Raw genomic sequence first — 24,316 nt, 5'->3', positions numbered from 1 at the left:
TCCCATAGCCATCTGAGGTTTGAAGAGAGCAGTGGTTCTCCCAGCACGCAGCTGGAGATCTGAGAACGGGCAGACTGCCTCCTCAAGTGGGTCCCTGACCCCTGACCCCCAAGCAGCCTAACTGGGAGGCACCCCCCAACAGGGGCAGACTGACACCTCATACGGCCGGGTACTCCAGCAGACCTGCAGCTGAGGGTCCTGTCTGTTAGAAGGAAAACTAACAAACAGAAAGGACATCCACACCAAAAAACCCATCTGTACATCACCATCATCAAAGACCAAAAGTAGATAAAACCACAAAGATGGGGAAAAAACAGAGCAGAAAAACTGGAAACTCTAAAAAGCAGAGCACCTCTCGTCCTCCAAAGGAACGCAGTTCCTCACCAGCAACAGAAGAAAGCTGGATGGAGAATGACTTTGACGAGTTGAGAGAAGAAGGCTTCAGACGATCAAAGAAAATAATTTTCCACCAAGAATTTTATATCCAGCCAAACTAAGCTTCATAAGTGGAGGAGAAATAAGATCCTTTTGAGACAAGTCAGCGCTGAGGGAATTCATTACCACCATGCCTGCCTTACAAGAGGTCCTGCAAGGAGCACTAAACATGGAAAGAAAAACAAACAAACAAACATACCAGCCACTACAAAAACACACTTAAGTACACAGACCAGTGACACTATAAAGCAGCCATACAAAGAAATCTATATAATAGCCAGCTAACAACATAAAAGGATCAAATCCACACATATAAATGTTAACTTGGAATGTAAATGCGCTAAATGCTCCATTTAAAAGTAACAGAGTGGCAACACGGAGAAAGAAGCAATACACCCTGGTATGCCATCTTCAAGAGATGCATCTCACAAGCAGTGACAATCACAGGCTCAAAATAGAGGGATAAAGAAAAATCTACCAAGCAAATGGAAAACAGGAAAAGGCAGTGGTTGCTGTCATAATTTCAGACAAAACAGACTTTAAACCAACAAAGACCAAAAAAGATAGAGTAGGACATTACATAATGGTAAAGAGTTTAATTCAACAAGAAGACCTAACTATCCTAAATATATATGCCTTCAAGGGAGGAGCACCCAGATTCATAAAGAAGTTTTTGGAGACCTACACAGAGACTTTGATTCCCACATAATAGTAGTGGGAGACTTCAATACCCCATTGAGAGTATTAGACAAATTGTTCAGGCAGAAAATTAACGAAGATATTGAAGACCTGAATTCAATACTTGAATAAATGGATCTGTCAAGTATCTACAAAACTCTCCACCCAAAACAACAGAATATACATCCTTCTGATTGCCACATGGCACATATTCTAAAATCAACCACAAAATCAGACATAAAATAACCCTCAGCAAATTCAAAGAAATTGAAATCATACCAACCACACTCTTGGACCACAGTGCATAAAAACAGAAATCAACATTAAGAAAATCTCTCAAAACCATACAGTTACATGGAAATTAAACAACCTGCTCCTGAGTGAGTTTTACGTAAATAAACTAAGGCAGAAATCAAAAAGTTATTTGAAACTAATAAGAACAAAGACACAACATACCAGAATCTTTGGGACACAGCTAAGGCGGTGTTAAGAGGAAGTTTATGGCACTAAACACCCACATCAAAAAGTTAAAAATATCTCAGATTAACAACCTAACATCACAACTAGAGGAACTAGAGAAGCAAGAGCAAACCAACCCCAAAGATAGCAGGAGATAAGAAATAACCAAAATTAGAGCTAAACTGAAGGATATTAAGACATGAAAAATCATACAAAAGATCAATTAATCCAAGAGTTGGTTTTTAAAAAATTAATACGACAGACCATTAGCTAGACTAACAAAGGAAAGAAGAGAGAAGAGCCAAATAAACACAATTAGAAATAACAAAGGGGATGTTACCACTGACCTACAGGAATATAAAAAACCCTCAGAGACTACTACAAACACCTCTATGCACACAAACTAGAAAATCTAGAAGAAACTGATAAATTCCTGGACACATATACCTCTATGCACACAAACTAGAAAATCTAGAAGAACCTGATAAATTCCTGGACACATATAACCTCCTAAAACTGAACCAGGAGGAAATTAAATCCCTGAACAGACCAATAATGAGTTCCAAAATTGAAACAGTAATAAAAAGCCAACCAACCAAAAACAGGTGGAGAAGTAGACGGATTCACAGCCAAATTCTGCCAGATGTATAAAGAAAAGCTGATATCATTCCTATTGAAACTATTTCAAAAATTTGAGGAGGATAGACTCCTTCCTAACTCATTTTATGAGGCCAGTATCATCCTGATACCAAAACCTGGCAGAGACACAACAAAAAAAGAAAACTTCAGGTCAATATCCTTGATGAACACAGACAAAAATCCTCAACAAAATACTAGCAAACTGAATCCAGCAGCACATCATAAAGGTAATTCACCAAGATCAAGTAGGCTTTATCCCTGGGATGCAAAGTTGGTTCAACATACACAAATAAATAAATATGATTCATCACGTAAAGAGAACTGAAATAAAAAACCCATGATTATCTCAATAGATGCAGAAAAGTCTTTTGATAAAATTCAACATCACTTCATGTTAAAAACCTTCAATAAACTAGTCATTGAAGGAATATACTTTAAAATAATAAGAGCCATCTATAACAAATCCACAGCCAACATAATACTAAATGGGCAAAAGCTAGAAGCATTCTGTTGAAAACCAGAGCAAGACAGGGATGCCCTCTATCATGACTCCTATTCAACATAGTACTGGAAGTCTTGGCCAGGGTACTAAGGCAAGAGAAAGAAATAAAAGGCATCCAAATAAGAGAGAAAGTCAAAATATCCCTGTGTGCAGACAATATAATTTTATATCTAGAAAACCCCATAGTCTCTGCCCAAAAGCTCTGTGATCTGATAAACAATTTCAGCAAAGTTTCAGGTACAAAATCAATGTAGAAAATCAGTAGCCTTCCTGTATACGAACAATATCCAATCTAAGAGCCAAATCAAGAATGTAATCTCATTTGCAATTGCCACAAAAAGGGTAAAATACTGAGGAATACAGCTAACCAGAGTGGTGAAAGATCTCTACAATGAGAATTATAAAACACCGCTCAAGGAAATCATAGATGACACAAACACATGGAAAAACACTCCATGCTCATGATTAGGAAGAATCAATGTCATTAAAATGGCCACACTGCATAGAGTAATTTACAGATGCTATGCCTATGAAACTGCCAGTGACATTCTTCATGCAATTTAAAAAAAAAAAAATTTAAATTTGTACAAAACTAAAAAAGAGCCTGAATAGCAAAGGCAATCCTAAGCAAAAAGACAAAGCTGAGGTATCATGTTACCTGACTTCAAGCTATATTACAAGGCTACAGTAACCAAAATAGCAGGGTCCTTGTACAAAACCAGACATATAGACCAATGGAACAGAATAGAGATCTCAGAAATAAGGCTGCACACCTACAACTATCTGATCTTCAACAAAGCCAACAAAAACCAGCAATGGGGAAAGGACTCCCTCCTCAATAAGTGGTGTAAATGGTGCTGGGATAGCTGGCTAGCCATATGAAGAAGATTGATACTGGACCCTTTCCTTATACCATAAACAAAAGTTAACTCAAGATGAATTCAAGACTTAAATGTGAAACCCAAAAGTATAAAAACTCTGGAAGACAACCTAGGCAATACCATTCTGGACATAGGACCTGGCAAAGATTTCACGAAAAAGATGCCAAAAGCAATTGCAACAAAGGCAAAAATTGACAAATGGGAACTAATTAAAGTATGGAGCTTATAGCAAAAGAAATTATCAGCAGAGTGAAAAGACAACCTACGGAATGGGAGAAAATATTTGCAAACTATGCATCCAACAAAGGTCTAATATCCAGAATCTATAAGGAACTTACACAAATTTACAAGCAAAGACGAAACAACCCCATAAAAAAGTGGGCAAAGGATAGGAACAGCCACTTTTCAGAAGAATACATACAAGTGGCTAGAAAACATATGAAAAAATGCTCATCATCACTAACCATTAGAGAAATGCAAATCAAATCCACAATGAAATAGTATTTCACAGCAGTCAGAATGGCCATTATTAAAAGTTGAAAAATAAATGCTAGCAAGGTTACGGGGGAAAAGGAACACTTATATACTGTTGGTAAGAGTATAAATTAGTTCAACTATTATGGAAAGAAGTGCGGTGACTCCTCAAAGACCTAAAAACAGAACTACCATTTGATCCAGCAATCCCATTACCAGGTATATAGCCAAAGGAATATACATTATTTTACCATAAAGACACATGGATGCATATGTTCACTGCAGCACTGTTCACAATAGCAAAGACATGGAGTCAACCTAAATGGCCATAAATAGAAGACTGAATGTATTAGTTCATTTTCATGCTGTTGATAAAGATATACCCAAGACTAGGCAATTTACAAAAGAAAGAGGTTTATTGGACCTACAGTTCCACATGGCTGAAGAGGACTCACAATCATGGCAGAAGGCAAGGAGGAGCAAGTCACATCTTATATGGATGACAGCAGGCAAAGAGAGAGCTTGTGTAGGGAAACTCCTGTTTTCAAAATCATTGGCCATCATGAGACCCATTTACCATCATGAGAACAGCAAGGGAAAGGCCCACTCCCATGATTCAATCATCTCTCACTGGGTCCCTCCCACCAACACATGGGAATTATGGGAGCTACAAGACGAGATTTGTGTGGGGATACCTATCACTGGATAAAGTAAATGTGGTACATGTACACTGTGGAATACTATGCAGCCACAAAAGAGAATGAGCTCCTGCCCTTTGCAGCAACGTGGGTGGAGCTGGAGGCAATTATCCTAAGCAAACTAACACACGAACAGAAAATCACATACTGCATGTTCTCACTTATAAGTGGCACTAAACAATGAAAACAAAGAGAACAACAGACACTGGGGCCTACTTGAGGGTGAAGAGTGAGAGTAGGCAAAGCATCAGAAAAAATATCTATTGGATACTAGGCTTAGTACATGGCTGATGAAATAATCTACATACCAAAACTGTGGGAGACACAGTTTATGCATATAGCAAACCTGCACATGTACCCCTGAACCTAAAATAAAAGTTATAATAAAACAATCTATATTAATGGTTCATCATGTACTAATGTAATTTGTAATATAAATGACATAAGGAGAATAATGTTGTGTAGGGCAGGAAAAATAATAATAATAATAAGACTCATCAATAATAAAGCCACAGCCAATATCATATGGAATGAGCAAAAGCTAAAAAACCCTTCCCCTTGAAAACTGGAACAAGAGAAAGATGCTGTATTTGCCAATTTTCTCACTGCTATAAAGATACTACCTAAGACTGGGTAATTTATAAAGAAAAGGGGTATAATTGACTCACAGTTCTGCTTGGCTGGGGAGGCCTCAGAAAACCTACAATCATGGCAGAAGGGGAAGCAGGCACATCTTGCATGGTGGCAGGGATGAGAGAGAAGCAAGTGTGTGAGAGCACAGGAAAAACTGCCATTTATAAAACAATCAGATCTAATTCACTCACTATCACGAGAGCAGCATGGAGAAAACTGCCCCATAATCCAATCACTTCCCACCAGTTCTCCCCATGAACACCTGGGGATTACAATTTAAGATGAGATTTGGGTGGGGACACAAAGCCTAACCATGTAAGATGCCCACTCTCCCCGTTCCTGTTCAACATAGTACTGAAAGTCCTAGCCAGAAGTTAAGCAAGAGAAAGAAACAAAAGGCATCCAAATAGGAAGACAAGAGGCCAAACTGTCTCTCTTTGTGATATTATTGTATATCTAGAAACCCCTAAAGACTCTGCCAAGAGGCTACTAGAACTGATAAACAATTTTAGTAAGGTTTTAGGATACAAAAATCAATGTACAAAAATCAATAGCATTTCTATACACCAATAATGTCCAGGCTGAAAGTCAAATCAAGAACACAATCTCATTTACAATAGTCACAAAGAAAATGAAGTACCTAGAAAAACAGCTAATCAAAGAGGTGGAGGATCTCTACATGGAAAATTACGAAAGTCTTGTGAAAGAAGTCAGAAATCACACACACACACACACACACACACACACACACACACACACACACACACACACACGAAAAAACATTCCATGCTCAAGGACTAGAAGAATCAGTGTCATGAAAATGACCATGCTGGCCAAAGCAACTTACAGATTCAGTGCTACTCCTATTGAACTACCAATATCATTCTTCAAAAAATGAGAAGAAACTATTTTAAAATTCATATGGAACCAAAAAAAGAGCCCAAACAGCAAAAGCAATTCTAAGCAACAACAACAACAAAAATGAAGCTGGAGGCATCACACTACCTGACTTGTAACTACACCATAAGGCTATAATGACCAAACAGCATGGTACTGTTACAAAAACAGACACACAGACCAATGGAACAGAATAGAAAACTCAGAAATGAAGCCACATGTTTAAAACCTCTCACCTTCCATAAGATCGACAAACATAAGTAATGGGAAAGGACTTCCTGTTCAATAAACGGTGCTGGGATAACTGGATAGCCATATGCATAAGAATGAAACTAGACTCCTATCTGTCACCACATACAAAAATTAACTCAAGATGGATGAAAGATAGAAGTATAAGACCTAAAATTATAAATATCTTAGACGAAAACCTAGGAAGTACTCTTCTTGACATTAGTGTTGGCAAAGAATTTTTTGCCAAGTCCCCAAAAGCAATTGCAGTGAAAACAAAAAATGACAAGTCCGATCTAATTAAACTAAAGAGCTTCTGCATAACAAAAGAAACTATCAAGAGAGTAAACAGACAACTGACAAAATGGGATAAAATATTTATGAACTATACATCTGAAAAAGGTCTGATTATCCAGAATCTATAAGAAACTTAAACAAATTTACAAGCAAAAACCAAACAACTCCATTAAAAAGTGAGCAAAAGACATGAACAGATTCCTCTCAAAAGAAGACACACAAGTGGCCAACAAACATATGAAAAAAAGCTATCATCACTAATCATCAGAGAAATGCAAATCAAAATCACAATGAGATACCATTTCACACTAGTCAGAATGGCTGTTATTAAAAAGTCAAAAAACAGATGCTGGCAAAGCTGTGGAGAAAAGGAAAAGCTGTTGCTGGGAATGTAAATTAGGTCGGCCACTGCAAAAAGCAGTTTGGAGATTTCGCAAAAAACGAAGAACTATTATTTGACCCAGCAATTCCATTACTGGGCGCATACCCAAAGGAAAATAGATCACTACATCAAAAAGAAATGCTCACTCATATGTTCATTGCTGCACTACTCACTATAGCAAAGACATAGAATCAGCATAGGTGACCGTCAGTGGTGGATTGGATAAAGAAAATGTGGTACATATCCACCACAGTGATAAATTACCATAGTAATACAGTCATAAAATAGAATGAAATCATGTCTTTCACAGCAACATGGATGAATCTGGAGGCAAGAATCCTCAGCAAACTAATGGGGGACAGAAAACTAAATACCACATGTTCTCATTTACAAATGGTAGCTAAACAATGAGTACACATGTACATAAACATAGGAATAATAAACACTGGGGACTGCTAGAGAGAGCGGGGAAGGGGGCCTGGGTTGAAAATCTACTTGTTGGGTACTATGCTCACTACCTTGGTGCAATATCCCCATGTAATAAACCTGCCCATGTACCCCATCTATCTAAAATAAAGGCTGAACATTTTTTTAAAAGCGTGAGGCATAATCAAGTGTACTCCATTCACACACACACTCACACATATATATATGTATATAATTAGTAACTTCCCAGCAATCTGATGGGCTATCTGAATAATTTCATTTACATGTAGTATTAATCACTTATGCTTAAAAAAGAGCACTATATTTATTCAGATGATTAACACTTCATACCAATCCAGATTCTGCCCAGAGTATTTTTTTTATTGGAAACTCAGCATTTTAAAGCTAGAAGTGACCACAGACTGTCTGCTGAAATGATTTCTCTACTTGTCAAAGAACAGAATGTCTTGAGTAGCTTTCTTTAAAAAAAATCCATTGTGCTAACTACAGTGAGTCTCTTATAGCTGGTGGTGGATGGAACCCAGTGATCCAGAGTTTTCCAAAAGTCTCCAGGTTAGATGTGAAACCATTGAATTAGTCCAACTCTCTCACTTTAGAAACAGTGTTTAGAAACACTATTGCCCAGGGAGATGAGATTATTTGCTCACTTTAAGGGGGGGAGACCACCCCTCATATTGTCTTATGCCCAATTTCTGCCTCCAAAGAAAGAAAAAGTAAAAACTGAAAGGCAGAAATGAAATCCACAGGCAGACAACCCGGTGCCACACCCTGGGGCCTGGTAGTTAAAGATCGACCCCTGACCTAATCGGTTATATTATCTATAGATTACAGACATTGTATGGAAAAGCACTGTGAAAATCCCTGTCCTGTTCTGTTCCATTCTGATTACCCGTGCAGGTGCATGCAGCCCCCAGTCACATACTCCCTGCTTGCTCAATCAATCCCGACCCTCTCACATGGACACCCTTAGAGTTGTAAGCCCTTAAAAGGGACAGTAATTGCTCACTCGGGGAGCTCGGTTTTTGGAGATGTGAGTCTGCAGATGCTCCCAGTTGAATAAAGCTCTTTCCTTCTACAATTCGGTGTCTGAGCGGTTCTTGTCTGCAGCTCATCCTGCTACATTTCGTGGTTTCCTGACCAGGAAGCAGGTGATTAAGGACGGACAGTTGAGTCAGCCCCTTAGTCAGCTTAGGCCTGCCCTGTGGAGCATCCCTGCGGGGGACTCCGGCCAGCTTGAGCGATGCAGATCCTGAGAGCACTCTCGGGTAGGCATTTGCCCTGGTGGAACGCCTCGTCAGAGCGGTGGACAGCAGGCCCTTGTGGATGATCAGTGCAGTGGCTGAACACCGGGAAGGAACTGGCACTTGGAGTCCGGACATCTGAAACTTGGTAAGACTGGTCTTTGGAACTTGCCCACTCCATTTGAGTGGAAGCATGGCCTGATCACCCACGACGTGCCTGTACTGGCACTTTGGTTTTTGTTTTTGGCTTGACTTGGATTGCTTGATACTTTGGTTTTGGTTTTGACCTGGCTTGGATTTGATACTCTGATTTTGGTTGTTTCTGGTTTGGTGTAAACTGTAAAAGTGTGTGTGTGCCCTCTTTACCTGTTCTTTGTTTTGTGGTGTGAGTGTGGTGTGAGTGTGGTGTTTTGTCTGGAGGAAACATGGGTGAGGCACAAAGTGAGCCCATCCCACTAGGAACTATGTTGAAAAATTTCAAAACAGGATTTAAGGGAGACTATGGAGTTATGACACCAAGAAAACTTAGAACTTTGTGTGAGATAGACTGGCCAGCATTACAGGTACGTTGGCCATCAGAAGGAAGCCTGGACAGGTCCCTTCTCTCAAAAGTGTGGCACAAGGTAACTTGTAAGCCAGGGCACCCAGATCAATTCCCGTATCAATTCCCGTATATACATATAGATTCTTGGTTACAGTTAGTTTTAGACCCCTCACAGTGGTTAAGAGGACAGGCAGCAGCAGTACTAGTAGCAAAGGGACAGTTAGTTAAGGAAGGTTCTCGCTCCACCCACCGAGGGAATTCAGCACCAAAAGTCCTGTCTGTCCCAACACCAGAAGAATCATGGCAGGAATTGGTACCAGGAATACCCCCTCCTTATTGAGAGGAAGGGCTCCCCACTCCAGAACCCACAGCACCTCCACCTCCACCAGATAGCCACACTCCTAGACCACCCAGCATAGACAAAAGAGGAAGTAAAGCTGAAGGAGAAACTCCTCCCTTGGCAGCTTGCTTACGGCCTAAGACTGGAATCCAAATGCCCCTGAGAGAACAGCAATATTACTGGGGTAAATGAGGATGGACACATGGTGGAAAGGCGTGCCTTTGTATCAACCTTTCACCTCTGCTGACCTCCTCAATTGGAAAAATAATACTCCACCTTATACCAAAAAGCCTCAAGCTTTAATTGACTTGCTCCAAACCGTTATACAGACTCATAATCCTACTTAGGCTGATTGCCACCAGCTGCTCATGTACCTCTTTAATACAAATAAAAGGCAAAGGGTGCTCCAGGCGGCAACTAAGTAGCTAGAGTAGCATGTCCCAGCCGATTACCAAAACCCCCAAGAATATATAAGGATTCAGCTGCAAGGAACAGACCCCCAATGGGACCTGAACGAGGGACCAGACACAGGGAGGCTAAGATGGTATCCTAAGGCATTGATAAAAGGTCTAAAGAAAGGGGCTCAAAAGGTTACAAATTTAAATAAGGTCTCTGAGGTCATCCAAGAAAAAGGGGAGAGTCCAGCACAATTCTATGAAAGACTGTGTGAGGCTTACCGTATGTACACTCCTTTTGATCCAAATAGCCCTGAAAATCAGCACATGATTAACATGGCCTTAGTTAGTCAAAGCACAGAAGATAACAGGAAAAAATTGCAAAAACAGGCAGGGTTTGTGGGTATGAATACCTCGCCATTACTGGAAATAGCCAATCAAGTGTTTGTTTGTGAACAAAGATGCAACAAGCCGCTGAGAAAGCCGAACACCAGGCCAGGCGGAAACGCCAACTTACTGGCCGCGGCCATTAAGGGAATTCCCCCAAAAGGGAAAGAAAAGGAGGGTTCTGGGAAGAATACCCAGTCTAATCGCCCACACTTTCAATGTAACCAATGCTCCTATTGTAAGGAAATAGGACATTAGAAAAATAAGTGTCCCCAACTGAAGGAAAAACAAGGTGATTCAGAACAAAAGACCTTAGATAAAGATGAGAGAGCTTTGTTCAATCTGGCTGAAGGGCTATTAGACTGAAGGGGACTGGGCTGAAGCGCCCCCAAGGAGCCTGCCGTCAGGATTACAATTGGAGGCAAGGACATTAAGTTTTTGGTCAATACTGGTGCTGAACATTCAGTAGTGACCACCCCGGTCACCCCCTTACCCGAGAAAACCATTGATATAATCGGAGCAACAGAAGTTTCCACTAAGCAGGCTTTCTGTCTACCACGGACCTGCTGGGTGGTGGGACATAAAATAGTTCACCAGTTCTTGTACATGCCTGACTGTCCCTTGCCTTTGCTGGGAAGAGACTTGCTTAGCAAGCTGAGAGCCACCATCTCCTTTACAAGACAGGGCTCTTTACAGCTAAAGTTACTGGGAACAGGAGTTATCATGGCCCTTACGGTCCCCCAGGAAAAAGAATAGAGACTTTTTCTAACCGAGCCAGGCCAAGAGATAAAACCAGTCTAGCTAAGCGATGGCCCCAAATATGGGCAGAGGATAATCCTCTGGGACTGGCAGTCAATCAAGCACCCGTACTCACAGAAGTTAAGCCTGGGGCCCAGCCAATTAGACAAAAGCAGTATCCGGTTCCCAGAGAAGCTCTTGAGGGAATCCAGGTTCATCTCAGGCGCTTAAAAGCACCTATAATTTAGAACTATAGTTCCTTGCCAGTCTCCATAGAACACCTACCTCCTGCCTGTCCCTAAGCCAGGGACAAAGGACTACCGGCCAGTGCAGGACTTGCGCTTGGTCAGCCAAGCTACAGTGACTCTGCACCCAACAGTTCCTAACCGTTACACATTGTTAGGGCTACTGCCTGCTAAGGACAGTTGGTTTACCTGTCTGGACTTAAAAGATGCCTTCTTTAGCATCAGACTAGCTCCTGAGAGCCAGAAGCTGTTTGCCTTTCAGTAGGAAGATCCGGAGTCAGGTGTGACTACTCAGTACACTTGGACCCGGCTTCCCCAAGGGTTCAAGAACTCCCCTACTATCTTCAGGGAGGCCCTGGCTCAAGACCTGCAAAAGTTTCCTGCTAAAGACCTAGGCTGCATCTTGCTTTTGTACATGAACGACCTTCTGCTGGGACACTCCTTGGCAGTCGGGTGCGCAAAAAGTACGGATGTCCTACTTCAGCACCTGGAGGACTGTAGGTAGAAAGTGTCCAAGAAGAAAGCTCAGATCTGCAGACAGCAGGTATGCTACCTGGGATTCACTATTCGGAAAGGGGAGCGCAGCCTGGAGTCAGGAAGAAAGCAGGTCATCTGCAGCCTACTGGAACCTAAAACCAGAAGGCAAGTAAGGGAATTCCTACGAGCTGTAAGGTTTTACAGATTATGGATTCCAAACTTTGCAGTACTAGCCCAACCTTTGTACGGGGCTACAAAGGGGGGCGACCGGTAACTTTTAAATGGGAGCCTCTACAAGAGCTAGTCTTTTGTAAGTTAAAGGAAAAACTTACGTTGGCCTGTGCCCTAGGACTACCAGATTTGACAAAGCCCTTTACACTCTATGTGTCAAAAAGAAAAAAAATGGCAGTTACAGTTTTAACCGACTGTGGGGCCCTGGCCAAGACCAGTGGCCTATCTCTCAAAACAACTAGATGGGGTTTCCAAAGGCCGGCCACCATGTCTAAGGGCCCTGGCAGCAACGGCCCTGTTAGCACAAGAAGCAGATAAACTAACCCTTGGGCAAAAGCTGAATATAAAAGCCCCCCATGCTGTGGTAACCTTGATGAATACCAAAGGACATCATTGGCTAACAAATGCTAAATTAACCAAGTACCAAAGCTTGCTTTGTGAAAATCCCCAGATAACAATTGAAGTCTGTAACAACCTAAATCCCACCACCCTGTTCCCATTATCAGAAAGGCTGGTTGAGCATAACTGTGTAGAGGTGTTGGGCTCAGTCTATTCTAGCAGACCTGACCTTCAGGACCAGCCATGGGCATCTCAGTAGACTGGGAGTTATATGTAGATGGGAGCAGCTTCATCAACCCACAAGATGAAAGATGTGCAGGATATGTGGTGGTAACTTTGGATGCTGTCATTGAAGCCAAACCATTGCCACAGGGCACTTCAGCCCAGAAGGCTGAGCTCATTGCTTTAACTCAGATTCTAGAACTCAGTAAAAGTAAGACTGTAAACATCTACACTGACTCTCGATATGCCTTTCTAATTCTCAAGTGCATGGAGCATTATACAAGAAAAAGGGCCTGTTAAACCCTGGGGGAAAGGACATAAAATATCAACAAGAAATTCTACAATTATTAGAGGCAGTGTAAAAACCTCAAAAGGTGGCAGTCATGCACTACAGGGGACACCAGCGAGCCTCCACCTCAGTGGCCCTAGGAAACTCTCGAGCTAATTCAGAAGCTCGAAAAGCAGCATCTACCCCTTACTGGGCATCGGTAGCAGCCCCATTACTCCCTCAAACACCTGACCTGGTACCTACCTATTCTAAGGAAGAAAAAGACTTTTTCCATGCAGAAAGGGGGCAAGTAATAAAAGGAGGATAGATCAGACTGCCAGATAGGAAGGTAGCTGTGCCACAGTTTCTGGGAGCCACAATCGTATTGGCCGTGCACAAAACTACTCATCTAAGGTCAAGAGTCACTTAAAAAGTTGTTAGGCCAGTACTTCTACATCTCACATTTGCCAGCCCTTGCCAAAGCAGTAGCACAACAGTGCGTTACTTGCCAACAGCACAATGTGAGGCAAAGCCCCACTGTTCCACCTGGCACACAAGCTTATGGAGCAGCTCCTTTTGAGGATCTTCAGGTAAATTTCACAGAAATGCCAAAATGTGGAGGTAACAAGTATTTGCTGGTTCTTGTGTGTACTTACTCTAGGTAGGTGGAGGCTGATCCAACACAAACTAAAAAGGCCTATGAAGTAACCCGTGTGCTTCTCTGAGATCTTATTCCTAGGTTTAGACTGCCCTTACGAATCGGCTCAGGTAACAGGTTTGTGAGCGACTTGGTACAGAAAACAGCAAAGGCATTAGGAATCACTTGGAAGCTACATGCCGCCTACCGACCTCAGAGTTCCGGAAAGGTGGAGTGAATGAATCGGACTATCAAAAATAGTTTTAAAAAAGTATGTCAGAAAACAGGATTAAAATAGATACAGGCCCTTCCTATGGTATTGTTTAAAATTAAATGCACTCCTTCTAAGAAAACAGAATACTCCCCTTATGAAATACTGTATCATAGGCCTCCTCCTATACTACAGAGACTTCCAGGCACTCCCCGAGAGTTAGGTGAAATTGAATTACAGTGACAGCTACAGGCTTTAAGAAAAATTACACAAACAATCTCAACTTAGGTAAATAAGAGGTGTCCCATCAGCTTATTCTCCCCAGTTCATCCTTTCTTTCCAGGTGATCGCGTGTGGATCAAGGACTGGAACGTAGCCCCTTTACAGCCACCGTGGAAAGGACCTCAAACCATCATCCTGACCACCCCCACGGCTGTAAAGGTAGAAGGAATCCCAGCCTGGATCCACAACAGCCATGTGAAACCTACAGCCACTGAAAACTAGGAGACAAAACCGAGCCTGGACAAGCCCTGCAAAGTGACTCTGAGGAGGACGACAAGCCCTGCTCCAGTCACATCCAGAAGCTGACTGGTCTACGCACGGCTGAAGCATGAGGAGAATCATCGTAAAACTCATTTTCCTTATAATTTGGACTTGTATAGTAAAAACTTCCACTGATTTTCCCCGCATGAAAGACTACTCTTAGTGTATACATCAGGTTACTGAGGTAAGACAAGAAAGTAAAACAATCTTTCTGTTCTATAGTTACTATGAATGCCTAGAAACTTTAAAAGGAGCATGTTTATATAATGACACTCAGTACAAGGTATGTAGCCCAGGAAACGACCAGCCAGATGTGTGTTATGACCCCTCTGGGCCTCCCATGTCCACAGTTTTTAAAATAAGATTAAGAACTAAAGACTGGTGAGGACTCATAAATAATACAAGTAAAGTATTAGCCAGAACAAAAGAAAGGGGGTGCCCAAATGCATAATCTTGAAATTTGATGCCTGTGCTGTCATTAATAGCAATAAGTTAGAAAGGAAATGTGACTCTCTTAATTAAAAAAAAGACTATATGACCAAAAGTAAGTAAATTTGTCATAAATTAGGACTATATAAATATAAATGTAAATACTGGTCTTGTGTCATTTAGGCCATTTGAATAAAAAATAAAAATGATCCAGTCCACCTTCAAAAAAGAAAAAAATGGCCCTTCCTGTACTAAGGGACAATGTAACTCCTTAGAGCTAGTAATAACCAATCCCCTTGATCCTCAGTGAAAAAAAGGGGAACGTGTGACCTTAGGAATCGATGGGGCCAGACTGGATCCTTGAGTAAATATCTTAGTTTCAGGAAAAGTTTACAAACGCTCTCCTGAGCCAGTGTTTTAAACTTTCTATGATGAACTAAATGTGCCAGTACCAGAAATTCCAAAAAAAACCCAAGAAATTTGTTTTTGCAATTAGCCGAGCATGTAGCCCAGTTTCTCAATGTCACTTCATGTTATGTATGTGGAGAAACTGTAACAGGAGATCAACAGCCATAGGAAGCATGAAAATTAGTACCTACAGACCCAGTTCCTGATGAATTCCCGGCTCAGAAAAATCACCCTGACAATTTCTAGTCCTAAAAGCCTCAATTATTGGACAGTATTGCATAGCTAGAAAAAAAAAATCCACTCACCCTGTAGGATGACTTAGTTGTCTAGGACAGAAACTGTATAGTGGTAACACGAAAACAGTCACTGGGTGGAGTTCAAATCACACAAAAAGGAATCCATTTAGTAAATTCCCAAAGTTGCAAACCGTGTGGACCTACCTGGAGTCCCACCAGGACTGGACAGCCCCCACTGGATTATACTGGATATGTGGGCATAGAGCTTATGCGAAATTACCTGACCAGTGGGCAGGTAGTTGTGTTATTGGCACTCTTAAACCATCTTTCTTCCTACTGCCCATAAAAACAGGCAAACTCCTAGCTTCCCTGTCTATGCTTCCCACAAAAAGAGAAGCATAGTTATAAAAAATTAAAAAAAAAATAGCCCCCTGAAAAAAAATCATACAATATCATAGGCCTGCTACTTAGACACAAGACAGCTCGTGGGGATACCAGACTCCCATTTACAGGATCAATCAAATCATACGGTTACAAGCTGTCTTAGAAATAATCACTAATAAAACCGGCAGAGCCTTGACTATTCTGCTCTGGCAAGAAACTCAGATGAGAAATACTATCTATCAAAATAGATTAGCTCTCTACTACTTGCTAGCAGCTGAAGGAGGGGTCTGTAGGAAATTTAACCTTACTAATTGCTGTCTACACATAGATGATCAAGGACAAGTAGTTGAAGACATAGTTAAAAATATGACAAAACTGACACATGTGCCTGTGCAAGTGTGGCATGGATTTAATCCTAAGGCCATGTTTAAAAAATGGCTCCCAGCGCTAGGAGAATTTAAAACTTTTATAATAAGAGTTATAATAGTAATAAGAACCTGCTTATTGCTTCCTTGTTTACTACCTGTACTTCTTCAAATGATAAAAAGCTTCACTGCTACCTTAGTTCACAAAAATGCTTTGGCACAAGTGTACTGTATGAATTACTATCGATCTGTCTTGCAAAAAGACATAGGTAGTAAAAATAAAAGTGAAAACTCCCACTAATGAGTGAGGTTCTCAAAGGGAGGGGAATAAAGAGGGAGACCACCCCTCATATTGTCTTATGCCCAATTTCTGCCTCCAAAGAAAGAATAAGTAAAAACTAAAAGGCAGAAATGAAATCCACAGGCAGACAGCCCGGCGCCACACCCTGGGGCCTGGTAGTTAAAGACTGACCCCTGACCTAATGGGTTACGTTATCTATAGATTATAGACATTGTATGGAAAAGCACTGTGGAAATCCCTGTCCTGTTCTCTTCCATTCTAATTACCGGTGCAGGTGCATGCAGCCCCCAGTCACGTACTGCCTGCTTGCTTGCTCAATCGATCACGACCCTCTCACATGGACACCCTTAGAGTTGTAAGCCTTTAAAAGGGACAAGAATTGCTCACTCGGGGAGCTCGGTTTTTGGAGACGTGAGTCTGCCGATGCTCCCAGGTGAATAAAGCCCTTTCCTTCTACAAATTGTTGTCTGAGGGGTTCTAGTCTGTGGCTCATCCTGCTGCAACTTCATCCATCAAGTTAAGAACAGAATGTCTGTCACAGGCCATGCATCCTGACTCTCAGTGTTCCTTACCCAACCATAAGTTTTCTCAGGTACTTTCTCCAGCAGTTAATGCTGTTACTTGAGCTGAAAGAATAAATGCCTGATGTACTGTAGAATTTAATCCAGCACAGGGTTTTGATGATTCCCATAAAGCCGACCCAAATAGCTCATGATGCAAGGTTGCTCAAGCACTGCTTTAACCTTTTCTGTGTCATAGATTTTTCTGGAAATGTGATACATTACAGACATTCTCTCCTTAAGAAAAAAATGCATGAAACTTTGAACAGAAAACCTTTATTGACCCCAATTTTCTTGTTCTAACATCTAGAAGAGGACTCAGAAGTTTTAAATGTTTTGAAGAGGGCAGTCTTATCCAATTTTGAGTCCCTTCTACATAAAATTTTTATATCCTTTACACAACATGAAGAACTTCTAGTCATCTCTAATCTCTACTGGGGATAACTTTTTTAAAAAAAAGACTAGACTTTTGGAGGTTGGAGAAACAAAAAGGAAGTAAATTAGACAAAAGAGAGAAATGGAGCTCATTGCAATGAAGCCTTTGGGGAGGATAAGATATTACTTATGAGTATAATATATATTATTTAGGTGATAAATACATTAAAAGCAGTGATTCCCCCTAGTCAGTATATCTATGTAACAAAATTAAACTTCTACCCCATAAATTTATATAAATAAACAACAAAATCAATGAAGTCTTGAGAGAGATAAAGAAGATTGAGGGCTAGCCTACTGAGACCTTAGAATTGTGCCCTTCCATCTATTAGGATGGAAGAAGCCAAACATGGGAAAGAAAGATTTGTCTTGGCACAATGTTATTTTGAACAGCAGGAAGGCTTTATAACCTTATAGAGTGGGAAAGAAAGATAATCTCAGCCACAGTCAGTTGATTTAAGAAGTTTCCCCATAGCTTTTCTTCTCCTTTCTCTCCCAATCCTAACCACCTAAATTGCTCTATCACTTTGTGAATACAGTGGGAACTGAGAGGGAGGACTCTTAAATTGGAAAGATAATTGTTTTTTTGGCATGAAGAACCAGACAGAGAAAATATAGTTTCTTAGTACTCATACTATCTGTAACAAAAAAAGCAAAACAAATTCACAACTCTTTTTTTCTCAAACTGTGGAGAGAAGGCCTCAACATTCTACTATTGAGCTTGAATTGCAAATGAAAGCAAGCATACCAGGCACATGGATAGCAATTTTAGAAGTGAAAAGTGCTATTGTATTCTCTAATGTTGTCTTTATTCTACTGAATGAAGACATTTCTATAAGAGCTCTCATAGGCTCATACCTGACTTTGGCTATTCAACCTATAATTGCCTTAAATTCTTAAATTCCTCAATGGTAAAAGTTCCTAATATTAGAATTTCCACTAATTATTGTAGTTGGGAAGGTAGTCCTTTGATTTATTTCATCTATTTCTCTAACTCATTAAATGCCTCTGAATCCTGACAGAAGATACTATAGTAACAATGTTTGGGACCCAGCCTTTTATGGGATGCTAATGCTTCACCTTTGGAAGGATTTTGAGTGGTTTTTCAGTCCTGTTGAGGCAGAAGGAAGCTTACTCTCAAGCTTCTTTCAAGAGGCTGAACCACCAGGGAGTTGACTACTGCGAAGCAGGAAAGAAGCAAACATCGCAGAACCCACAGCCTGGACCTATGAAACCTAAACTGTAATCTAGTACAACAGTGGCCCAGGGAAGATAGGAAATCTATTTGCATTGTTTACGTGGTGCATAGGTCAGAATTTACAAGCCCGTGTTTGAGTCTGAGAATGTCCTCTCAATAAGGAATCTCATAAGACACTAAATGCTCCAGCAGGAACATTATCTACAGCTGAATGCTCAATTGGGAAGTGAGACGTGTATTATAAGACTCTTCTTTCTGACTGATTCATGGTATCTTCTGCCTCAATCATAATGACACTGATTAAGTCACAAAGCAGATTGGAGGAACATGTGTTCCCATTCAGAGAAAGAGATCATTCCATATTTTATCTTATTCACTGGACAGCAACATAACCAGTATTGGTGACTGTTTGGGATAAAGAGAATATGAATGAAGCGTACTCACAAATAAACCCACGACTCTCATAGTTAAAATGTCTACTCCTGCAAAATCATAATAAGTATCATATAATAGAGACACAGCAAATCAGCAGGTCTCTTTCTCATTTCTGATCTGTTTCTTCCTCTTGTAGACTCATCTGGAGGTGCCCATAAATAGTAAATAACACCCATGGCAGGTGGTAATGGGAACAGTAAATGGAAACCTCTGGAGAAAGGATAGGCTTTGAATAAGGGAGCACTAATGTTTAAGTAAACAAATCTGACATTTCACCACCATCTAATCTAAAGAAGAGATTTTTTGAGGATGGCCTGAAACCCTAAATGAGTAACAGAGTCTCTACTATATTTCCTTTGCTTGTTGTGTAACTTAGAAATGACATTTTTAATGAAAGAACTGATGATATTTTAACATTTTCCAATTTCATCCTGAGTTTTGAGATCAAGACTAACTATTAAGACTTAGAGGATAATTCTTTTCCACTAGGTAAATGGTATCACTTCTGATACAGAAGTACAAGTTAAGTAATTGAGCTCTGAATTTAGAGTTTCTGGACGAGAGCCGGAGAATCAGCTACTGAGTTCATATTGTAGGAGGCACCCCGCAAACTCTCCATTGCTGTATGTTAGAGTAAAAGGTCTGTGCGCCAGGGGATGGAACCCACTTAGGAGGTTGGGTAGCATAGTGATTAATATTTTCCTAGTCCTGCCAATTATTAGCTATGTAACCTTAAGAAACATATTAATTCTGATAGAGGAGGTAATGCTGGGTTAACAATAATGTTCTAAATTTTACACAAAAGAACTTTATTTCTCAGTCATTTACAGTGTTATATGTCCAGCAGTTCTCCGCTAACATAATCCCTAGGTGATTCAGGGACCTAGGCTGCTTCTGTTTTGTGGTCTCAGGATTTTTCTGGTATTATCCAATAGGTAGCTCAGGAGACAGTATGGGGAAGGCATACTGGGCACATGACTACCCCAGCCTAGGGTGACACATGACTTCTATTTACATTTTAGTGGCTAGAACTAGTCTTACAGTCAAATTTTGGGAACGTTCATTTCCTCTTCTCAAAAGTGATGGCAATAACTGGAGTTGTTTCGAGAATTAAATGAGATATATATGTGAAAACTGAATGGAGATCCAGTTGGCCACATTTGGCTTGTGTTACATTTAAGAGAAATGCAGTATAGAAACCAAATGTAATTAAAATGTAATTCTAATTTTTGTTTGTGTGTGTCTTTCAAGACCCTTAAAAGGGGTGCATTTCAAATTAAAACCACAATGAGATACCATCTTACATTAGTGAGAATGGCTATTATTAAAAGTCAAAGAACAACAGATGTTGTTGAGGATGTGGAGAAAAAGGAATGCTTATACATTGTTGGTGGGTAAACTAGTACAAGCTTTATGAAAAAGAGTATGGAGATTTCTCAAAAACTAAAAATAGTACCACCATTCAATCCAGCAATCCCACTACTGGGTATACACCGAGAGGGCAGGAAATCATTACATCAAAATGATACCTGCATTCATAAGTTTATTGCAGCACTAGTCACAATAGCAAAGATATGGAATCAATCTAGAATTCATAGGCCCATCAGTGGAGGATCAGATGAAGAAAATGGGCCTATGAATCCTAAACTGTGTATATAAACCATGGAATACTACTAGGCCATAAAAAATAAAATTATGTTTTCTGCAGTAACATGGGTGTAACTGGAGGCCATTATCCTAACTGAAGTGACTCAGAAACAGAAAGTCAAATACTTGCATGTTCTCACTTGGGAGCTAAACAATGGGTATACATGGACATACAGAGTGGAATAATAGATATTGGAGATGAAAAAAGGGTGCCAGGGGGTCAGGGTTGAAAAATTACTTATTGAGTACAATGTTCACTGTTCAGGTGATGGCTACACGAATAGCCCAGAATTCACCACTATGCAATATATGAATGTAAGGAATCTGTACTTGTATTTCCTAAATGTAAATAATAAATAAATAGATTTAAAGAAGAAGATGTATTTGATAACTCATAGTAAGACATCTTAAGATTAACCTTCCTTTTTAATTTTATTAGCAATAATAATCATGCATCTCTCTTAATTCTCTCACTGAAACTCTTTCTGGATTCCTTGTTTGTTGCTTCCACCTGGCCATAATTCCAAGCATTCCTGTTAGAGGTCTTAGTGTCATGCTAGAGGTGATAGTGTCATGCCTTCCAGGTCTCTCATTTCTCCAGAGAGAAAGCATTTGGAGCCTGTTGGGCAGTGTAAGCCTCATATCCCTTCAACTTCAGGGTCCCCTTCCACACGGAATTCTCACATAGAAATTACAGTTAAAAAAAAAAAAAGAAAACCAAAAAAATCCTCACATTCATTGTTAAGTTCTCGGTCCAATGTCTGGCATCAAGAGTAATTCTTGTTTATAAATATTAATTATACTTTATTGATATATTGATTATGAATAAAAGTTTTCTTTGAATTGAATTCATGTTGGGAATGGAGCATTATGATATTTTACATCAGTCATTTAGCTGGGTGATGATTATCTCAACATTCACATGCATGGGTCCGTCCCACTTGCTCAATAAATATGTACAATGTCTTAATAAATAGGCCATATACTTAAATAACAGTTTTCCTAAAATTCTTCTCCCAGCAAAAGGGCTATCATGCCATGCCACAAAACACACTTTTCTTTGCACAACACTAGGAAGAATACTTTATATAAAGAAATGGCCAGGCATTCCATATTTTTCTTTCTCAGTCCCTTCATATGCTTTACTTAAATAAAGTAAAACTGTTCATGGGTGTGAATACAGTCAATAAGACATTGACAATATATACAAATCAACTCAAGAATGGTTATCTTTGGATGCAATTACCTAAACTACAAGGCTTTGAAATTGAAAGAAAATCCAAAGAAGTTTCTTGATACCTATTTAAAAGCTTGGAAAATGCAGGATGATTTTGAGGGAAAGAGGGTTATTTACTAATACGTGGCTCATATCATTCTAGAAGGAAAAAGGAGAAAAATACACACTATTATGTGAAGAAAACTGACTACAAATCTCTCAGCAATGATGTAAGAGTTTTAAAGATTTCAAGCTTAAGAAGCTATGCCCCAAATCAATGATTTGGGAATTCAGCAGGGTAATCTGTGTGAAAAGAATTTACACTGTTTAAATTCATTATATTAAGCTGAGATCCCATGCCCCCCAGTGACCCGCTTCTGATTAGGGTACAATGGCTCCTACTTAGCTTGTAAAGTCAGCTACTGTGTAATTGTAAAGAAACACAATAGACGGTTTCATAAGATTTTCAGGATACCCACCGAGTATTTAGGTTTCAAACCAGGTCGGTTAAGAAAGATGCTCACTTTAGTGCAAGAAGTTTGCGCATCACAACTCCCTGTGGCACTTTAGCGTTAATGCGAAATGCCTAATTTGCTGCCTAGGAAGCCCATTGTCAATTATACACTGCAACAAAAAAGTTGAACCTCCTTGTCTGTTGAAGATAGTGTTTGAACCAGCAAACTGAAATAAACTACTTTGCTGATTTGAAATATATTGCCTCGGTTAAGCTCAATTAGCCACAAAAGAAGAAGAGGGCTAATAGAGGGTCATGATAGTGGGGTGATATGCATCCTCCACATGACTAAATGCATAATTGTTTTACTTAAAGAAATCTTCGAAACTTAAGATTGAAGAATTATTCATCATAGAATTAGCACTTTTACCAAATAGTCATTTTCAGGTGAGGAAGATATTCTCACAGGTAGTAGACGTATGGCCAATCTTCTTATACTACAGTATTGTACTCAAAATTGGTGCGTGGAGCATCAGAAGGAAGATGTTACTGGCTAGTTATATATTGACTAAAAACAAGTCTTTGAGAGAATTCGTAATGGGATTACAAGCCACTGAAATTTAGAATGAAACACATCTGATTTGACATTTTTGCTCCCTCAATAATAGTTCTCCTAAAGAAGGAATTTCCCAGAACAAGAATTATGTCATAAATAAAATATGCCTGATAAATCTCTAGTTTCCTTCCCTCGGTCTCTTTCTCAAGAATGTTTCCTTGTGGAGCATGTTTTCCATGGGGGAGAAATTATTCTCCAGTTATTTACACAGTCTCGTGTATTTTATATTAATTTTTAAAGTGAGTTTATATTTTGAGCCTGAGCTTTCATCATAGGATAGACATTTTCTTAACCTTTTGAAATAAACAGTGAGGAAATTAGGGACAAGATTTGTGGGAAGAAGGGTGAATCAATGGTTCTTTTCCTGAAATTGTACTATTTGGACAAGCATTTAGAGTTATCACATGGCAACCTGGTTACAAAGTCAGCATTTCCAAATTTGGGAAAAATCACAGGGATATGAGGAGCTTCTCTTTGTAAAAACGTGAACAGTGAACAAGGCAAATTCACTTAGAATGGGCATAACTTCTGAATAGACAGAACTACTTAATTTAGTTATTTATAGATTCTGTACAAAGTCATCATTCAGTTATACACATGAAGCCTCTTTTCAGGACAAGCTTTTCTCTCCCTTAAGACTATTATTTTCATTTAGCAAAATATAGACAAGTGACCCCATTGGAAGGATGATGCCTCAATGAATATTTACAAAAATTTGTGCAATTCTGGCCCTTTAAGCTTCCAATCTTTTGGATCAAACTGTGCTTGTTTAGTTGTTTCTTTGGGGGTTGCAGGAAACTCAAAGCTTTAGATTCTTTGGAGGAACAATTCTGGCCTTAGTTGTATGTGTATTGAGTCTAATAGTCAGGATTTCTGGATCCTCTTCATTGCTCTTTTTGATAGAATCCTATTTCGTTGTTCTCTATATATGATGCTAACATTTTGTACTATCAAGATGGAAGACTGAATATTAGCCTCAAAGGAAAATGTAAACTGTATAACCTAGGATATAAATATGCTTCATTAGCAATAATCAGACTCGGGACTGTTTATGAATGCTGGCAAAATGCAGTCACACGAATCAGTCATCATATGTTCCGCTTTCAAAGACATTAATCTTAACAGTGGAAAATACAAGTGGAATTACATCATTAAATGTTTAGT

General features: G+C 39.8%; 1 protein-coding gene and 1 long non-coding RNA gene across 6 annotated transcripts in view; one reads left to right on the top strand and one right to left on the bottom strand.

The window, feature by feature from the left end:
* KCNH8 (potassium voltage-gated channel subfamily H member 8) overlaps window positions 1–24,316 on the bottom strand; it is a 387,133-nt gene that overhangs the window by 36,640 nt on the left and 326,177 nt on the right. The gene's annotated exons all lie outside the window — the stretch shown is intronic.
* The window catches only part of LOC105376982 (uncharacterized), a 97,844-nt gene continuing 85,564 nt past the window's right edge, over window positions 12,037–24,316 (top strand). Inside the window, exon 1 of the long non-coding RNA XR_940640.3 lies at window positions 12,037–14,652. This is a non-coding gene — a long non-coding RNA (uncharacterized LOC105376982). The remainder of the gene's footprint in view (window positions 14,653–24,316) is intronic.

The sequence above is a fragment of the Homo sapiens genome, chromosome 3 (genome assembly GCF_000001405.40).
Source record: "Homo sapiens chromosome 3, GRCh38.p14 Primary Assembly".
NCBI lineage: Eukaryota > Metazoa > Chordata > Mammalia > Primates > Hominidae > Homo > Homo sapiens.
Note: the sequence above shows the minus strand (reverse complement) of the source record. Positions and strands in the feature narration are given on the sequence as shown.